The sequence below is a fragment of the Homo sapiens genome, chromosome 10 (genome assembly GCF_000001405.40).
Source record: "Homo sapiens chromosome 10, GRCh38.p14 Primary Assembly".
Lineage (NCBI taxonomy): Eukaryota > Metazoa > Chordata > Mammalia > Primates > Hominidae > Homo > Homo sapiens.
The window spans coordinates 42990065-43007656 of NC_000010.11; the positions used below are offsets into that span (position 1 = coordinate 42990065).

Sequence of the window (17592 nt, forward strand, 5' to 3'; positions counted from 1 at the left end):
CCTATAGCCTGGAGTCTAGGTCCCCAAGCTCCTCCAGGCCACCTTGAGGGCCTCTGCCAACACGCACTGCCTCAGGAGGGCATGCAGGCCACAGACAAGGGGCAGGGCCTCAGCTCTCACTAGAAAGAAGCCGAGGAGGGGGCCTCTGAGGAACTGGCGGGGGTCCCACAGGCAGGACAGCCCAAGGTCATGGCCTCTAACTCAGAGGGGGCCTCTGGAAGCGCCACGTTCACTAGGCACGGGCTGGAGGCAGCCCGTTCACTAGGGCGGTCTCCCGAAGACGTATCTGTTGCAGGGGCAGCGAGAATTCCAGGGGAACTCTAGAAAATGAGTGGCACCTGCCCTCCTTGTGACTGGTCAAGGAATATTGGGGCCTACTGAGCATGCTTGGGGTACCCTCCTCTGCAGATAGCCCATGCAGGTCCAGGGGCCTGATCCCACCTGCCACCCCCAGGCTGGGAGACTCAGAGCCCATCAGTGCTGGTGTCAGAAGAGGTCGCCCCTTTCCTGACCCCTCTGCTTCCTGCCACCCGGAGATCAAAAGGTGTCTCCTCGGCGGTTCCTGTCACCAGCCTTAATGCACGCTCTCCCCATTAGCACAGGGGCTGGGAGGGGAGGCAGCCAGGGGAAGATGGGAGCCTCAGATCTGAGCCCAGAGGAAGGAGACAGGGGTGGGAGGTCTAGGGAAGATTCAGCGATAGGCCTGCCCTCCTGCGGCCCTCCAGACACCAGTCTTAGAGCCCTCCTGCATGGGGAGACATGGGGCATACTGGGGAAGGGTGAGGTCCTCTCTGAGCCCCACCAGCCCTGACTTGACTGCCGCTCTGTGCTGAGTGCTCCCCGCACACGGCTCCTGGTGACAGCACCCGTGTGCTAGTACCGAGCCACAGGGTGGTCACAGATGCTGTCCGTGTGGTCTCCAGCCCGTGTCAGTGGGGAAGGGCCCACAGTGCTTTTCTGAGGCCAGAGCACTGTCATTGCCCCTCGAAGAACCAGCTAATGGCAGTTTCCAGACTAGAACCTGGTCTCCTCGTGGCCTGTGCAGGGTTGGGGTGCTCAGCCCAGCCTCAGGGGGTCACCTACACCCCACCCCCAACTGCCCGTAGGCCCAGGGAGCTGGAGAGCTTCCCTGCCTGCTTGCAGGCACTCACGGCCCTGTGACACACACACACTCATCCCCAATGAAGGTGCACCCCTGACCAGGTGTGGACCCCAGGCCAGGCAGCAAAGAGACAGCTGGCCTGACTTGGGTCCTCAGCCTGGCCCAGCCCCAGCCGCCGGCTTGAGCAAGCCCTTCCCGAGAGGTCAACCTCCCATCCAGGGCGTGAGGGTTGCAGCCTGATCCCACCCTGCTGCATCTGCCCTGTGGAGCCCTCGTCCTTTTTCCCTGGGGTCTCCCTCCCCGCCAGGCCAGGCTCTACCCTCAGGGCCGGAGGCCTCCTGGGGGAGGTTCATGTCTCACTTTGCAGCCTCCAGCCAGATGGCCTCCATAATTCATTTTAGTGAAATATGGCAACACTTTTATTGGCGATGATCCTATCTGGAGCCTGGGGACAGTGATGGCCAGACCAGGGCTGGTATCTGCTTTCACAGAGCTCCGAGAAAAGCCTGCATGGTTATGTTCGCGGATGTGCACTCATTTCGCGTTGCTGGGAGGGGGGGTGGGGCAGGGCAGAGGCTGCCTCTGGGTCTCCTGATTCCAGGCAGTCTGGGGCAGGAGGCCCACAGGCCCCTGCACTGGCCTGACAGAAGGCTCGGGCCCGGGGCAGAGGGGTGGGCTGCACCCTGCACTGATGCTCAGACCAAGCTGAGAGGTGGAGAAGTCAGGGGATATGCAAGGTGATGGGGAGCAGCTACCCAGAGCTGTGGGGTGGAGGCCATGGGTGCCACTCAGCCCTTGGAGGAGCTGCCTCCCACCACCTGCAGCACCAGAGTGGCCCTGCTGAGCTGCAGGCTTTCTCCCTGCATCTCCAGCTCACACTGTTGTGTGCTCTGTGCCCCAGGGCCAGCCCCATAGGATTCAGAGGCCAACCTCACTTCCTCTGCACTAGCAGCCCAGAGACCCCTGCCTGATAGATGAACCCCAAAACTGCAGTCTCAGTAGGACCTTAGTTGCAGTCACAAGTCCAAGAGGAAGAAGGAGACCCCATTCCTGGTCATGCTGTCTGCCAGGCTCCAGCCCGTCACCCCTTACCGTAGCCAGCCCAGACCTGGTGCATGGTGGAGCATCTACAAGCAGAAGGTGAGGCGTCCCCACCATGGGTCTGCTCTGCAGCCCTGCGGATGTCTCACCAGCCTGTATGGGGTGTGCTCCTGGGGACACCACCTTGGGGCTCCTCCAGGGAGCTGAAAGAGGGCAGGCCTGGGGGACACGAGATGGACAGGGACCTGAGAACTGCCCATGGCACCACCCAATAAGCCTGCACCTATCCCTTCATCCAAACAGGTCCAGGAAAAAGGCAATTACATCCCCAAGAAATGTGGCCAGTCAGGGAGCGTGAGAGCTTGTGCTGCTCTTGGGGGCCACAGAGACCCACCTGGCTGGTTCTGGATGAGACAAAGGCTGCAGACTGACACACCTATGCAACTCTCCTCCTGCCCAGGTGAGATCAGTCCCAAGTGTCAGCATGTCAGCCACCCCCAGGAGGGTCCTGGGCATGTTATCTGACCTCGCTCAGGCAGAGGTGAGGCTCAGCGGGTGACTGGGGCAACGAGACCCAGACTAGCGGGAGGCACCAGAAGGGATGCAGGCCTGGACAGGGTGGGGGCTGTGAGGCCCCAAGTGTGCCCGGCCAGGACACAGCTGTGCTTTACTTCCCAGAACGGATGGCCAAGGTGGTCTCAGACAAGGCTGTGCCTCTGAGCTACATTCCCACAGAGACTTCAGGGTGGCAGTGCAGCCTCAGCCTGCGCCAGCACCCCCAGGCCTTCCCGAGGTGCCTATCGACCTGCTGAACCCAGCTAATGGGCTCCTCTGGGCATTGAGTTCAGAGGCGAGGTTGCCTGTAAGCAAGATTCGCCAGTGTGCTTCATCAGCAGGCAGCCTCATGCAATATGTAACACCACATTAACCTGCACTCTCAGGGTAGACAGAGCCCCCGCCCCGGAATCCGGAATCCGGAATCTGCTGCTATGTAGAAGTGGCCTGGGACGGGAGGCAGAGCCTGCAGGCCCTGTCCTTTTCCCTGTACTTCCATCTCCCCACTCTGTGTACATGGGGTGGGCAGCAAAGCTGGCGCTTACACCATGGCACCCTCCCCTCCACCTATGGCAGGCCTTGGAAGTCACCGGCAACCCCTGCCCCTCCAAACTCAGACACGTCCTCAGGATCTCTCTCAACACAGTACTGCAGGCAACCACAACTGGGCAGCCCAAGTGGGTGAGCAAGATCAATGCGGAATTGCAAGGGGCCTCAAGTAGCAAAAACAACCTTCAAAAAGAAGAACAAAGTCAGAGGAGTTACACTTTCTGATTTCAAATTTACTACAAAGCTACAGCTGTTAAAACAGTGTAAAACTGGCATAGGGATAGACATATAAATCAATAGAATAAAATTCAGAGTCGTTTAAGGCCAGTTAATTTTTGTCATGGATGCCAAGCTCATTCAATGGGGAAAGAACAGTCTTTTCTACAAATGTTACTGGGACAACTTGATTTCTGCATGCAAAAGATGAGGTTGGACCCCTACCTCACACTATAGGCAAAAATTAACTCAAAATGGATCAATACCCTAAATATAAGAGCAAAAGCTGCAAAACTCTTAGAAGAAAGCATAGTGGTAGATCTTCATGACCTTGGATATGGCAATGGATTCTTAGATATGATATCAAAATCTCAAGTAAGAATAACAATAACAACAAAAAACAGATAAATTAGACTTCATCAAATTTAAAACTTTTGTGCACCAAACAACATTATCAAGAAAGTGAAAAGACAACCACAGAATGGGAGAAAACACCTGCAAATCATATATCTAATAATAGTTTAATATCCAGAATATATAAAGAACTTCTAAAACTCGAAAACAAAAGAACAAAACAACCAAATTTAAAAATGGGCAGGCTGGGCATGTAGCTCATGCTTGTAATCCCAGCACATTAGGAGGCCAAGGCAGGCGGGTCCATTTGAGCTCAGGAGTTTGAGACCAGCCTGGGCAACATAGTGATACTCCATCTCTACAAAAAATACAAAAATTAGCCAGGCATGGTGGCTTATGCCTGTAATCCCAGCTACTCTGGAGGCTAAGGCTGGAGGATGACTTGAGGCTGGGAATCAGAGGTTGCAGTGAGATCATGCCACTGCCCTCCAGACTAGGAGACAGAATGAGACCCTGTCTCAAAAAATAAATAAAAATAAAAATAAAATAAAATAAAAATGGGCAAAGGATTTGAATAGATGTTTCTCTGAAGAAGATGCACAAATGCCAATAAGCACATGAAAAGATGCTCAACATCACTAATCTTTAGAGAAATGTAAATTAAAGCCACCATCACTTCACCTATTGGCATGGCTATAATCAGAAAAGCTAAAAGTAACAACTGCTGGTGAGGATGTGGAGAAACTGGAACTCTTGTGCATTGATGATGGAAATGGAAAGTGGTATAACTGTTGTGTAAAATAGTGTGGTCATTCCTCAAAAAGCTAAATGTATAGTTACCATGGAATTGTGACCCAATAATTCCATTCCTAGGTATATACTCAACAGAATTGAAAACAAGAAATCAAAAAATGCTTGTGTCCCAAAGTTTATAGCAGCATCATCCACAAAAGCCAAAAGATGGAAACCAGGCAAAAGTCAACCGACAGATGAATGGATAAATACAGCGTGCTCCACCACACGGAATATGATTCATCCGCACAAAGGAACAAAGTTCTGACACACATGACAACAGAGATGAACCTTGAAAACATTATGCTGAGTAGAATAAGCCAGACACAAAAGGACAAATATTGTAGGATTCCAGATCTAAACTAGGCAAATTTATAGAGACAAAGCAGATTAGAGGTTACCAAGGGCTAGGGGTGGGGGATGGGAGGTTATTGCTTAATGGGTTCAGATTATCTGTTTGGGATGGTGAAAAAGTTTGCAGTGCACAAGAGTTCCAGTTTTGGAAGTAGATATCAGTGATGGTTGCACAACATCGTGAATGTAATTAATGTGAATTATACACTTAAAATGGTTAAAATGGCATTTTTGTGATGTATATCTTTTGCTACAAAAAGAACCATTTTTTAAAGAAGCAATGGTGAGCAAAGTTGGTAAATCTGTAGGTAGATCCAATAAAGCCTTGACAATTCAAAGAAAAGTAATAATTAATTTATGGCCATACAAACAGGGTGAGGCTAGTACTCCAAACAGCAAAGCCTAGCATGCCCAGTACCGGGCAAAGAGCAGGGGGAGACACGGGCTGTGTCTACACAAGGAGCATGCCTTTCTAGCACAGGTATTAAAACTTTAGGACAATTTATTAAAGAAATAGAAAATATGATCTCTGTGTTAGTTTCCTGTGATTGCTATAAGAAGTTACCACAAGTCTGGTAGTTTATAACAACAAAAATGTATTCTCTTGCAATCCTGGAGGCCAGGAGACAGAAATCAAGGTGTGGAGGAGGCAGAGCCATGCTCCCTCTGAGGCTCGGGGGAGGAGCCTTCCTGGCCTCTTCCAGCTTCCCACAGCTGGCATCATTCCTGAGCTGGGCCATGTCTCTCCAATGCCTGCTCTCTGTTTACAGGGCCTTGTCCCCTGTGCAGGTCTGGGTCAAAACTCCCTCTGCTTCTCTTTTATAGGATACATGGTATTTAGGGCCCTGGATGACCCAGGACATGCTCCTCCTCTCAAGGTCCCTCACTCGATCACATCTTTTGCAATACAGGTGATATTCACAGGTTCCAGATTAGACATGGGTGTATCTGTGGGAGTCATGATCAGCCTACCATAACTTCCAAGCAATTGGGAAGAAGAAAAAGAATACAGAAAATTGAGTATTTCTAATAGAAGTTAGGAAAGGAGAGAGAAAATGGAAGTCCAGAAGCCAGGACAAAAAAATAAGTGGTGGAAATAAATTTTCCTAGATCCAGAGAAAACAGTAACCATGAATGTACTGAACAGAGACTGTCAGATTGGACACAAAAGCAAAGTCTTGTGTCAGACGTTGCTTACAGAGGTCACAGTGAAGTATAGAAAGGTAGAAGGCAAGAGGGTGTGGAAAGCCGTGGAGTGTAAATACGGATGGGATGAAAGTTGGTGTGGCCGGGCCAATCCCCAACTTAGACTTAAAGACACAGAGAATCCCTGGGAATGGAGACAGCGACTCCCAGATGATGAAGCAGCAGAGAGATCCTCCAAGGGTGAGTGACCTAGAGCACTTTACCAGCTTTGTAAAGGAAAAGGCATTTGCCTGGAGGCTGCAGGGCCCAGTCCAGCCTAGCTCCAGGACAGCTCCAACCCATCCTCCCATGGGTGGGGTGTCCCTGGTCCAGGCTAGGGACGGTCCAGGGTGGGTTGGCAGGACCTGCTGTGATCGTGAAGTTGGGAACTGCCTAAACCATCTTCTCAGAGCCTGTGTGTCCAGAGGGAAAACCCAAGCACGTGGAATATGGTTTACAAGCCGTGGTTGCTGAGGACAAGGTTGGTAATGAAGGCGCAGGGAAGCCTGGGAGGGCAGAAATGCACAAGGAGGGGTGGGGCTGGAGCCCGGCTGGTCCTGGTATCCTGGGCTTGGGGGGACCCTGCTCCTTTCCCTGGGAGCCCTGAGGCCTCAACTGGATGACAGGAGGTGGATATGCTGGTCCCTGAGGCACAGGCAGTATGAACCTCTGCATGGAGCTGGGTCTCAGCAGAAGCCCACCCAAGCCTGGAGTTTCCCAGCCAGGGATGCACCTTTTTCATCCCAGCAGCCTCTGTCCCTCAGTCCTGAGCCCTCAGGGGCCCTCAGGGCATGAAAGCAGGAATCCCAAATCCACCTTCCAGAATTACACGGGCTGTTCTTGGTGGTCAGGTGGCCTCTCGGGGCCAGGGTCCTTTTTAAGACTGGAACCTCTCCAAGCTCACCAGCACTCTCAGTGCACGCACGCACGCACACACACACACACACACACACCAGGATTTTAAACTCAGTCCAACAAATCTCAGCATGCACCAGAACTATTTCAGCATTTTAAGAGCCTGTATTGATTTTGGAAGGAGCCAGGCAGCGTGTGAAGGCCATTCTGTCTGGGATCCTATGCTGAGTCTGGGGTCTCTGTATGAGGGATTATCCATGTGTGGGGAGCCTTCCCCCTTCAGAGCTTTCCAGCTTCCCTCTGATCACATGTCCTGAGCACACTATCCCAAACCTAACCCCAGCTGGGCTCTAGCAAGAGACGAGGTCCTGTCTTGCTGGGAAAGGGTCATCCTTCCCACCCGGAGGCCCCTGCTCTGCCCCAGTTTCCTGCCACAAAGCCCAGACAGTCCTGGGAACCTGGGCTGGTGAGTCCCTCCATCACCTTCAGAAACAGCCATGAGGAGCTGGCAGTGGGATGGCCTGGGGGTAGGAGCGTGGCTTCTGGAGCTAGACCACATGGGTTCAGATCCCAGCGGTGCCTCTAACTGGCCACAGGACCTTGGGCAGTCAGCTGACCCTGCCCAGTCCCAGCATCCTCATCTGGTCTTAGCTAACAGGGACACACCTGAGGAGGTGGTCTTCATGTCACTTCCACTGGGACCAGTTTTCAGAGCAGCTGCAGGGGTCATCAGTTAAGGCAGTACAGCCCACTTACAGAGGAGGCGGGTGGCTTGGGGTGTGAAGGACGTGCCCAGGTGACATGCTGCTGAGTGGCCCCAACCCCATCCAGGCACCAAGCCAGAGCCTGTCCCCAGGGACCCCAGGGCACATCAGCAGAAGCTGGAGGATGTGGGTCTCCTGGGCCTGGAATCTCAGAGCCCACATTGGTTAATTTCACACGTCCGCTTGACTGGCACACAGGGGGCCTGGATGTTTGGCCAGACATTATGCTGGGTGTGTGTCAGGGGGGCTCTGGGTGAGATGAACACTTGAATCCATGGACTGCAAAGCAGACAGCCTCCCAGTGTGGGTAGACCCATCCAACCTGTCGCAGACCTAAGCTGAACACAAAGGCCAAGTAGGAGATAATTCATTCTGCCTGGCTGCCTTAAGCTGGGAGCTTGGTCTTTTCCAGGCTTCAGACCTGAACCGAAGTACAGGCTCTTCATGCATGTCAAGCCCCTGGCCTTCAGACTGGGACAAACTCCATCAGCTCTCCTGGGGCTCCAGCTGGCCAGCAGCAGATCTGGGGACTTCTCAGACTCCACTATCTCATGAAGCAATTCCTTGCCATCCATCTCCTTTAATAAACACACACGCATCCTATCACTTCTGTTTCTCGGGAAAACCTTAACTAATGCAGAGCCCGAGAGTGGGGCATGGCTCAGGGCTGCTGCACCCAGGAAGCATCTGTGCTCCCTGTGCTTCCAGGCAGGGACCCTCATGGAGGGGTGGGATGGTCGTACTTCCTCAGCCAGCACTTAGGGGCCGTGAGGTCCATAGCCATGAGCTGAGGGAGTGACCCCACAGTTTATGTCACTGTGGAGAAAGGCTCCCTGAGCTGTGGATCCAGCCAGTGGGTTGTAAACCTGACTAAGACACTCAAGCTGCTGCGGCCGGGGGCATGCCACAAACCCCCAGTGAGCCTCAGTTTCCCCCTGTAGAACAGGGGTGTGAGAGCAGTCTCCTCAGGGTGTAAAGAGCCCAGCAAATGCCGGGCACAGCTCATACCAGATAAGCATTAGCTGGTGGCAGAAAAGCTGGAAGACAGACTGCTGACCTCCACAAAAGGATCAGATTTGTGCCAGTCCTGGCCATGGACAACAGGTCCCAGGCTTGACCTGTAGGTGAAGAGCCCAGAGCCCAGGACCACATGCCAAGTGGGAGGCTCCTGGCCCAGAACACCACACCTGCCTAGCAGATGTGTCTCCTGGAAGTGGGAAAGCAGGACTCTCCAGGGAGCCCTGGGGATACAGAGGATGCAGCCCGCGAGGCCCTGGCCTTGAAGCCTTAGTGTCTCTGCAGGCCCCACCTGTGATTGGCCCCTCCAGGGTCACCCAGGAGGGTAAGATGCCCAGGGCCTGCATCTGTGCTGTGGGACACAGCCTGGCTTCTGAGGCCCATGGAAACCTTTCTCGGGAGCTTCTCAGGACCCCAGCCAGGACATCTGTGCCTGTCCGTGACAGCTGCCCTAGAACTGGCCACAGGCCTATGGCTGCCTTGCACTGTCAGCCCCCAACGCCCGTCGTGTCATCAGCATGTCTCAGATGCCTTCAAGGGCTGCCCACTCCATGATCCTTGTCCACAGCCCCAGCATGTCCCCTAGCGTCAGAAGTGTCCCCGGATCCTGCAAGCCAACCACATAGGACGTCCACCTCTGAGCCCCTCTGTTCTCCTACCCTCCTGCTGATCACAGCCCTGCTGCCTGGCCTCATGGTCCAGTGCATCTTTCTCCCTGGAGCTGCCACAGTGCACCACCTGCCTGGCTATGCATTGGTGACCCCTAGGAGCTCCAGGGGGACCTTCACACAGGCCCAGGACAACTGGGGAGTCCTGCCTGCCCTCCTTTGAGTCCAGAAGCCCTGAGCCAGGCTCTCTTCAGAGGGGTGGAGGTCAGCAGGCACCAAGGCCTGCAGTCCCCAATTCTCCTCTCCCAGCTGATCTCTCTTGCCACACCCTGTGCTGGCCCATGCCCGTGAGTCCGCCTGGCCACCCAGACGGGAGCTGATGTCTCCAGGAGACATACGGGACTTGCCATAGCCCAGGCCAGGGCAGTCCCTGGGAGACACAGGGCCTGGGAGGCTGCTTCACCTGCGGGGCTCCTGGGCAGGTGCAGTGCTCCCTGGAGTCCATCCTGGGACCTGTGGCCCAGCCCACCTCAGACTGGCCACAGGCCCTCTCCTGAGAACCCCTGCCTAGGCTCTGTAGCCTTAGAGCCTCACCTAGAAGCTCCCCCAGGCCCCTCCACTGGGCAGTGCTCAGCGCCCACCCCTCTCTAGTCTAGATTTTAGGGGGAGCCTGGGTCCAGGCTGCCCAGCCCAGCACATCCCCAATACATACCCAAGCCAGCCATGATTGCACCATGGGGCCAGGGGCAGTGGGGGTGGTTTGGGGTTGGTGGAGGCATCAGGGCCTGGGTCCCACAGCCAGCCTGGGCCTCCCAGGCCATTGAGCCCTCATCCTTCCAGTGCTCTGCGAGCAGGCGTCCCTTTGTGTGAGGACACCTGTGGTGCACCCCTTCAGTCAGGCATCCCTGCAACCCACTTGGGGGTGCAGACATGAAGGAGCCCATGGGAGGCAGCATGATGGCCCTCTACATCCCCAGGCTCCTGTGCTCCTTCCTTTCAGATGGCATTCATTGAAGGGGCAAGTGGAAGAAGGACGGGTTTCCCAGCAGATGCTGCAATTCAGCCCCTGGCTTGGGATTTGTGTCATTGATATTATTGATAAACAGAGAACACAGGTTGACAAAAGACAAGAGAGGCCACCAGAAATCCATGAAGACAGAGCCTCTTCTGGAGAGAGCAGGCTGTTGGCCACCCTGAGACCCCTCCCCAACTTGCGCCTGGCCTGGATTTTGCAGGGGACGGGGCTGGGGAGCTGGTGCTGGTGTAGCCACCGGCCCTGACACCCAGCCGCGTGACCTTCTCTCGTGGCCTCACAGTCCTCCCTTCAAGGGTCCCAGGCCTGCCCCTCGAGGCCCTCTGCCCTCCAGGAGCGCCCCCATGTCCTTCCCAGCATGGGCAGTGCCTTACAGACACAGGAAGGCTAATGTCAGTGGAGGGACACAGTGACAAGAGGAAGAATGTGCAGCGCCCTTCAGGAGCGTGGTGGGGCCCCAGCAGGGGAGGAAGGCTCCAAGGGGGATGACAGCATGGCTGTGGCAACGACAGTTCCATGATGGCAGTGGGGGTGGCGGTGGGGGTGGCTGACCTAACACAGGGGAGGTAACTGTCCAACAGGAGCCAGGCTCAGCCAAGGAGTACAGCCAGGAAACCTCCCCTTCCCTCCCCCTGCACACCACCCTGGATGAACTGAGGGGCCACCCAGGCACTGGAGCCTCTGCTGCTGTCACAGAGTCAGGCTTTGGGCATGGAGCAGCTGGCAGAGGGGTGGGTGCTGAAGGGCAAGTGGACTCCATGGAGAGGGCCCTGATACGGGGAGGCTCTGCTGGTCTCCGGGAGCAGGTCAGGACCTGAGCAGACTCTCTGGGCTCCTCAGGAGACCACCCAGGGCACACCCAGCCCTGCAAGGGTCTCTACGTGGTGCCGTCAGTGCCCTGCACCCCCTGGTAGGCTGCCCACACCTGTACCTGCTGCCCCACCCAGCAAGGCTGCAGAGCTGCGTGGTTCATGCCCACCTCCAAGGACCCCATGGGGCTGAAGGAGACAGCAGAGCTGCCCAGCTGCAAGGTTGTCAGAGGACCCCTGTTTTTCTGTATTTCTGACAGTAGGAGATGGTGCCATTGCTGGAAGATGGGCCTTTCAGGCTGGCACCCAGCCCCGCCCCAGGGGGCCACGCCACCTCCCACAGGCTCCTGCATGGTGGGCATGTCCCAAGCCAGCCTCATCTGGCCAGGTTGTCACTCTGGGTAAAGTGAGGTGGCAGCCCTGACCTGCCAGCAGCAGACAGTAGAATTCTACAGAGCATCCTTCAGGCTCCAGGGAAGGACAGAGCCCTGAGCAGCAAAGACTCCAGGAGGCATTGTGGCTTTGGAAGCTTTTCTTCAAAGCTTCCAAGCCCATGTTCAGGCCACTTTGCACCTGAGTGACAGCATTTAGCTTTCTTTGTGTTAGGAGAAACCCATGGATTGACTTTCTTTTCCTATTTCCTCCGGGGGTGAAGTATCATAAGCCAGGAAAAAGTGGGTCAGGGACTGTCTAGGTGACCCTGGAGAGCCTCGCCAGGAGCTCCAGGGGTCCATCAAGGGCAATGGGAGCAGGAGGGGTGGTGGCCACTTCTTGATGGTGAGGGGGGTGATGAGGCTCCCTTAGGCCCTGAAAAGGTCAGAATGGGGGGTAGGGAGCCACCTCCTGCCTGGAGCAGTTGATGCTCAGAGCTGCTCCCATGTGTCCTCATCCCTCCTTCCAGGTAATGGAGCCATGGGTTTCTAGGGGAATCCAGGGCTCTGGGGAGACTGGGATTCTGACTTTGATCTTTGACTGACTTTGATCAGTTCTCGTGTTTTTCCTGTGCATTTTCTGATGAGTTTATATCTGTCAGGAGCCTCAGGACCGTGCTAAGCCCCCAGGATCTGAGGGTAGGAAAAACCATGCCTTGGATTTCCTGCAGACATTTGACCATGGTGGAAGGCTCAATGAAACTTCCACCTAAACTTGGCAGATTGAACACTTCATTGATTTTCACTCTCTCCCAGAATCCTATCAAATGATCATTAGTAAATAGAGAATTCCAAACCCTACAAAGAAAAATACAAGCAAATGAACAATGAAATCAGTCAGAGCCTAGGAGGCTGAAGCACACTCTGTGGGCCTGGAGGGCAGATGGTTTCGAGGAAACAGCCCTCAATGCCACAGAGGGAACTGGAGGAGCAAAGTGACTGAACCCCCAGAGCTGGAACGCAGGCCCCCAGCCCAGCCTGTGGGAGGTGCAGCCTCATTCCCAGGAAAGGGTGAGCCAGAGAGGCCCTGCTTCTGGGCATATCAGGTACGTCCCAAGAAGAGGGAGGCACCAGGTTGGGGACAGGGGAGTGAACGTTTGTCTGGGAAGCAAAGACACAGCCCCTCCCGTTCTCCAGGAGGCAGCAGCCCAGATACCAGTGGCCAGTCATGGGCTCCTCAGACTGGAAGTGGGAGGACTTTTCTCGAGGGAAACTGAACAGGCCCAGAGAAGAGACAGTGAAGGGGAACCTTTAATTAAGATGCTGGCTCATCCATCACATCTCCCTAAAGAAAGCTTCCAATCCATTTTTTAAAAATAAGCTTTTTGTTTTAGAAGAGCTTTAGATTTACAGAACTATCGTGAAGATAGCACAGAGAGTTCTGACACACACCACCCCAGCTCCCCTGTTACTAACATCTTACATTAGTAAGGTGCATTTGTCACAACTAATGAACCATGTTGATGTGTTGGTATTAACGAAATAGCATCTTTTATTCTGATGTTTTTAGTTTTGACCTAGTCCCCTTTTCCAGTTCCAGGACATCACATGACATTTGCTGGTCATGTCTCTTGGGCTCCTGATGGCTGTGGCTGTTTCTCAGATGTTCCTTGTTTTCGGTGACCTTGCGAGTTCTAAAGAGTGCTGGCCAGGTGCTTTGTAGAATGCCCTTTTACTGGGATTTGGCTGATGTCTGATAAGATGAAGATAGTGTGTCTTGGGGAGGAAGACCACAGCCAAAGTGTCACTCTCATCATGTCACACCAAGGGTATCTGCTACTAACATAATTTTTCACTGTTTTTTTACATTTTAGATCCAGGGGGTACATGTGCAGGTTTGTTACGTGGATATACTGCATAATGCTGAGGTTTGGGCTTCTACTGAACCCATCACCCAAATAGTGAACACAGTACACAACAGGGAGTTTTTCAACTCTTGTCCCCCCTCCCCTTTTGGAGTCCCTAGTGTCTATTGTTTCCATCTTTATATCTGTGTATACCCATTGCTTAACTCCCACATATAAGTGAGAACATGTGGTATTTGGCTTTCTGTTCCTGTATTAATTCACTTAAGATAATGACCTGCATCCTAGCTGCATCCATGTTGCTGCAAAGGATGTGATTTTACTCCTTTTTATGGCTGCATAGTATTCCGTGGTGCATATGAACCACATTTTCTTTATCCAGTCCACAGTTAGTGGGCACATAGATTGATTCCACGTTTGCTACTGGGAATGGTGCTGTGGCTTATCACTGTGGATGCTGACCTTGACCCCCTGGCTGGGGCGGTGCTTGTCAGGTGTCTCTGCTACAATTACTCTTCCACACTGCACCCTTTGGAAGGAAGTCATTAAGCACAACTTCCACTTCGGGAGTGGGGAGTTTCGCTACCTGACCTTAAGGGTGGGGTATCAACATAATTTGTTTGGAATTCTCCTGCACAGAATATTTGTCTTTCCTCCCCCACATTGATTTATTTATTCAGTAATTTATTGATGTCAATATGGATATTTATTGTATAACTTGGGTTATAATCTGATACTACTTTATTTTGTTGCTCAAACTGTTCCAGTTTTGGCTGTTGGGAGCTCTTTCAGTTGACTCCTGTGTCTCTTTTGCATAGTCCTATCATTGTGGGTTGATTTTTTGTTTGTTTATTTGTTTTATCATGTTCTTGCTTTCTGGTGCTACAAAGTGCTCTAGGCTCAACTTCAATATTTCTTGCCACATTCCTAGAAACAACCATTCTCCAAGGATCTCTGGTTTCTTTCACTAGACAATGGTATTAAAAACCAAGATATGGGTGCTGGGGATGCTCATTTCTACTGGGGGCATTGTTGCTTCTAGGCCCTCTCAGTGGACAGAGCAAGGAAATCTGTATGGATGCTCACCCATGTGTGTATCCATGTGATGGTTAATTTTGTATGTCAGCTTGGCTAGGCTATGGTGCCAAGTTTTTTGGCCAAACATTAGTCTAGCTGTTACTGTGATAGTATTGTTTATAGGAACTACCCTTTACAACACCGGTAGGTCTCATCTCATCCAATCATTTGAAGGCCCTAAGAGTAAAGACTGAAGCTTCCTGAAGAAGCAATTGTGCCTCCAGACTGCAGCATAGAAACCCTGAGTTTCCAGCCTGCAAATTTCAGACTCAAGACTGAAACATCCATTCTTGCCTTAACTTCCAGCCTGCAGGCTTGCTCTATGTATTTCAGATTTACCAGGTCCCACAATCACATGATAGGAGTCAGATCCTTAAAAATTTCTGTGTGTCTACATGCACACACACACACAATTAGTTTTGTTTCTCTGGAGAACTCTAGTATAACACATATCTATGTCTCTATCTATATCTACATATCTATATTAAGCTAAACGTTAGTCCACATGATGTCTCCCCCTCTAATCTACTATCGCATGGATCATTCTCCCCTTCCAGCACCCTTGCTTCTTCTGTAACCTCCCACTCAAACAGCGAGATGCTGGTTCCCACCATCCACCAGACACTTATCAAATTGTCTGATCCACATGTATAGTGGTTTCAGAATTGTTAACCCATACTTCTGTGGGGAAAAACTTTGCCAAAAATAATACAGTGCTTACGTGCCTTTCTGTTTGTCTTTAGTCTTAGAAAAATCCGCTAATTCCCAAAATTACTTAGGTCAGCACCGTTTCTCCCACCCTCTTCAAATGAGATTATTTCATACATTTGTAATGCAGTTACATTATTTTGTCACATTCTGCATTCCATCCTGGGATCTCCAACATCCTACATGTTAAAAATATACATGCATTTGTGTCAAGTTCTGTGTATTTTGACACACGTTTAATATCTTGTATTCACCTTCACAAAATCATACAGAATAGTTTCACCACCTTAAGCTATTTCCTGTGCTTCACTTGTTCAATGCCCTACTCCCAATCCCCTGGCACCCGCCAATCTGTTTACCATCTCTACAGTTTTGCCTTTTTCAGAAGATATCATTGGAATCACATGGTATGCAATTTTTTCAAACTAACAATATACATTTATTAAAGATTTATTCATTTCTTTTCATGGCTTGATGGTTCTTTTTTTATTGCTGATTAACATTTTATTGCATGGATATAACATAGTTGGTTTATCCATTCCCTTGTGAAAGGCATTTTGGTTGCTTTCAGTTTTTGACAATTGTGAATAAAACCACTATAAACATTCACGTAGATTTTTTGTGGACGTAAGTTTTCAATCAGTTGGTAAATACCTAGGAGTGTGGTTGCTGGATTATATGGTAATCCTGTGTTTAACTTTATAATAAGCTGCCAGACTATCTTCCAAAGTGACTGGCCCACTTTGCATTCTCAACATCAATGAACGCGAGCTCCTGTTGCTCTCTATTCTCACCAGCATTAGGATTGTTCATTTTTAGATTTTAGGTATTCTAATTGGTGTGTATTAGTATCTCTTTGTTGTTTTAATTTGCAATTTCCTAATGACAAATGATGATGAACATCCTTTTATATGTTATTTTATGATCTGTATGTCTTCTTTAGTGAGGTGTCTGTTCATATCATTTGATGATTTTTAACTGGGTTTTTTTCATTGTTAAGTTTTAAGAGTTGTTTTGTATATTTTGTATACAGGCAATTTATCCGATAGATGTTCTGCGGAGGTTTTCTTCTAGTCTGTGGCTTGTTGTTTTATTCTCTTAAGTGTCTTTTAGGAAAGCAGAATTGTTTAATTAATAAAAGTCCAACTTACCAATTTTTTTCTTTTTTTTCCAACAACCTCTTGTCCAACAGAACCTTTTTTTTTTTGTCTTTTTTTTTTCCATTTTGTGGAGAACAGGATCTCACTATGTTGCCCAGGCAGGTCTCGAACTCCTGGGCTCAAACTATCCTCCTGCCTCTGCCTCCCTAAGTGTTGAGATTACAGGCATGAGCCACCATGCCTGGCCAGAACCTATTTTTAATGGATATATTTGCCAATATTTGGATGAGTATTTTTGAATCTATATTCATGAGAATTTCTGGTCTGTGGTTTTCTTTTCCTGTAATGTTTTTATCTGTTTTTTTGAATTAGGGTAATCATGGCCTCATAGAATGAGTTAGGAAATAGTCCCTCTTCCATTTTATATCTTAAATGTTTGGTAGAATTCACTGGTTCTTGTATTTGTGGAATGTTATTAATTATTGATTCAATTTCTTTAATAGGTATAGGCCTATTCCAATGATCTATTTCTGTTTCTGTAAGTCTTAGCAGCTTGTGTCTTTCAAAGCATTGGTTCATTTAATAATGTTATCAAATTTGTGGTCATAGAGTTGTTTATAGTATTCCTTTATTATCATTTAAATGTCTATGGAATCACTAGTGATAACTCCTCTTTCATTTCTGATATTGGTAATTTGTGTCTTTTCTCTAACCTGGCTTTTGGCCTACGAATTTGATTGATCTTTTCTATAAAAGATAGTTTTGTTTTTTTCATCTTTTCAATTTCATTGATTTATGTTCTATGTTTTATTATTTCATTTTTCCCTCTTGATTCATGCTTAAATTGTACCTCTTTATCTAGTTTCCTAAGTTATTAATTTTACATATTTATTATTACTGTTTTTTTTTTGAGACAGAGTCTCACTCTGTCACCCAGGCTGGAGTGCAGTGGCGCGATCTCAGCTCACTGCAACCTCCGCTTCCTAGGTTTAAGCAATTCTTGTGCCTTAGCCTCCTAAATAGCTGTGACTACAGGCATGCATCACCATGCCCAGGTAATTTCTTTTGTATTTTTAGCAGAGACAGGGTTTTGCCATGTTGGCCAGGCTGGTCTCAAACTTCTGACCTCAAATGATCTGCCTGCTTTGGCCTCCCAAAGTGCTGAGATTACATATGTGAGCCACCGTGCCTAGCTTTGAATTTCTAATATATGCATTTAATGCCATAAATTTCCCCT

General features: G+C 50.4%; 1 non-coding gene across 1 annotated transcript, besides 3 other annotated features; it reads left to right on the plus strand.

The window, feature by feature from the left end:
* Positions 1-733: an enhancer, noted in NCBI's record as "H3K4me1 hESC enhancer chr10:43485513-43486245 (GRCh37/hg19 assembly coordinates)". NCBI's record gives its function as "activates a minimal SCP1, AML or CMV promoter by ChIP-STARR-seq in naive H9 embryonic stem cells {active_cell/tissue: H9 hESC(naive)}" and the evidence as "EXISTENCE:reporter gene assay evidence [ECO:0000049][PMID:30033119]".
* Positions 7366-7866: an enhancer, noted in NCBI's record as "H3K4me1 hESC enhancer chr10:43492878-43493378 (GRCh37/hg19 assembly coordinates)". NCBI's record gives its function as "activates a minimal SCP1, AML or CMV promoter by ChIP-STARR-seq in primed H9 embryonic stem cells {active_cell/tissue: H9 hESC(primed)}" and the evidence as "EXISTENCE:reporter gene assay evidence [ECO:0000049][PMID:30033119]".
* Positions 7499-7617, plus strand: MIR5100 (microRNA 5100). Its single transcript, NR_049836.1, has one exon. It is a non-coding gene; the product is annotated as a microRNA 5100 (primary transcript).
* Positions 10461-11156: an enhancer, noted in NCBI's record as "H3K4me1 hESC enhancer chr10:43495973-43496668 (GRCh37/hg19 assembly coordinates)". NCBI's record gives its function as "activates a minimal SCP1, AML or CMV promoter by ChIP-STARR-seq in naive H9 embryonic stem cells {active_cell/tissue: H9 hESC(naive)}" and the evidence as "EXISTENCE:reporter gene assay evidence [ECO:0000049][PMID:30033119]".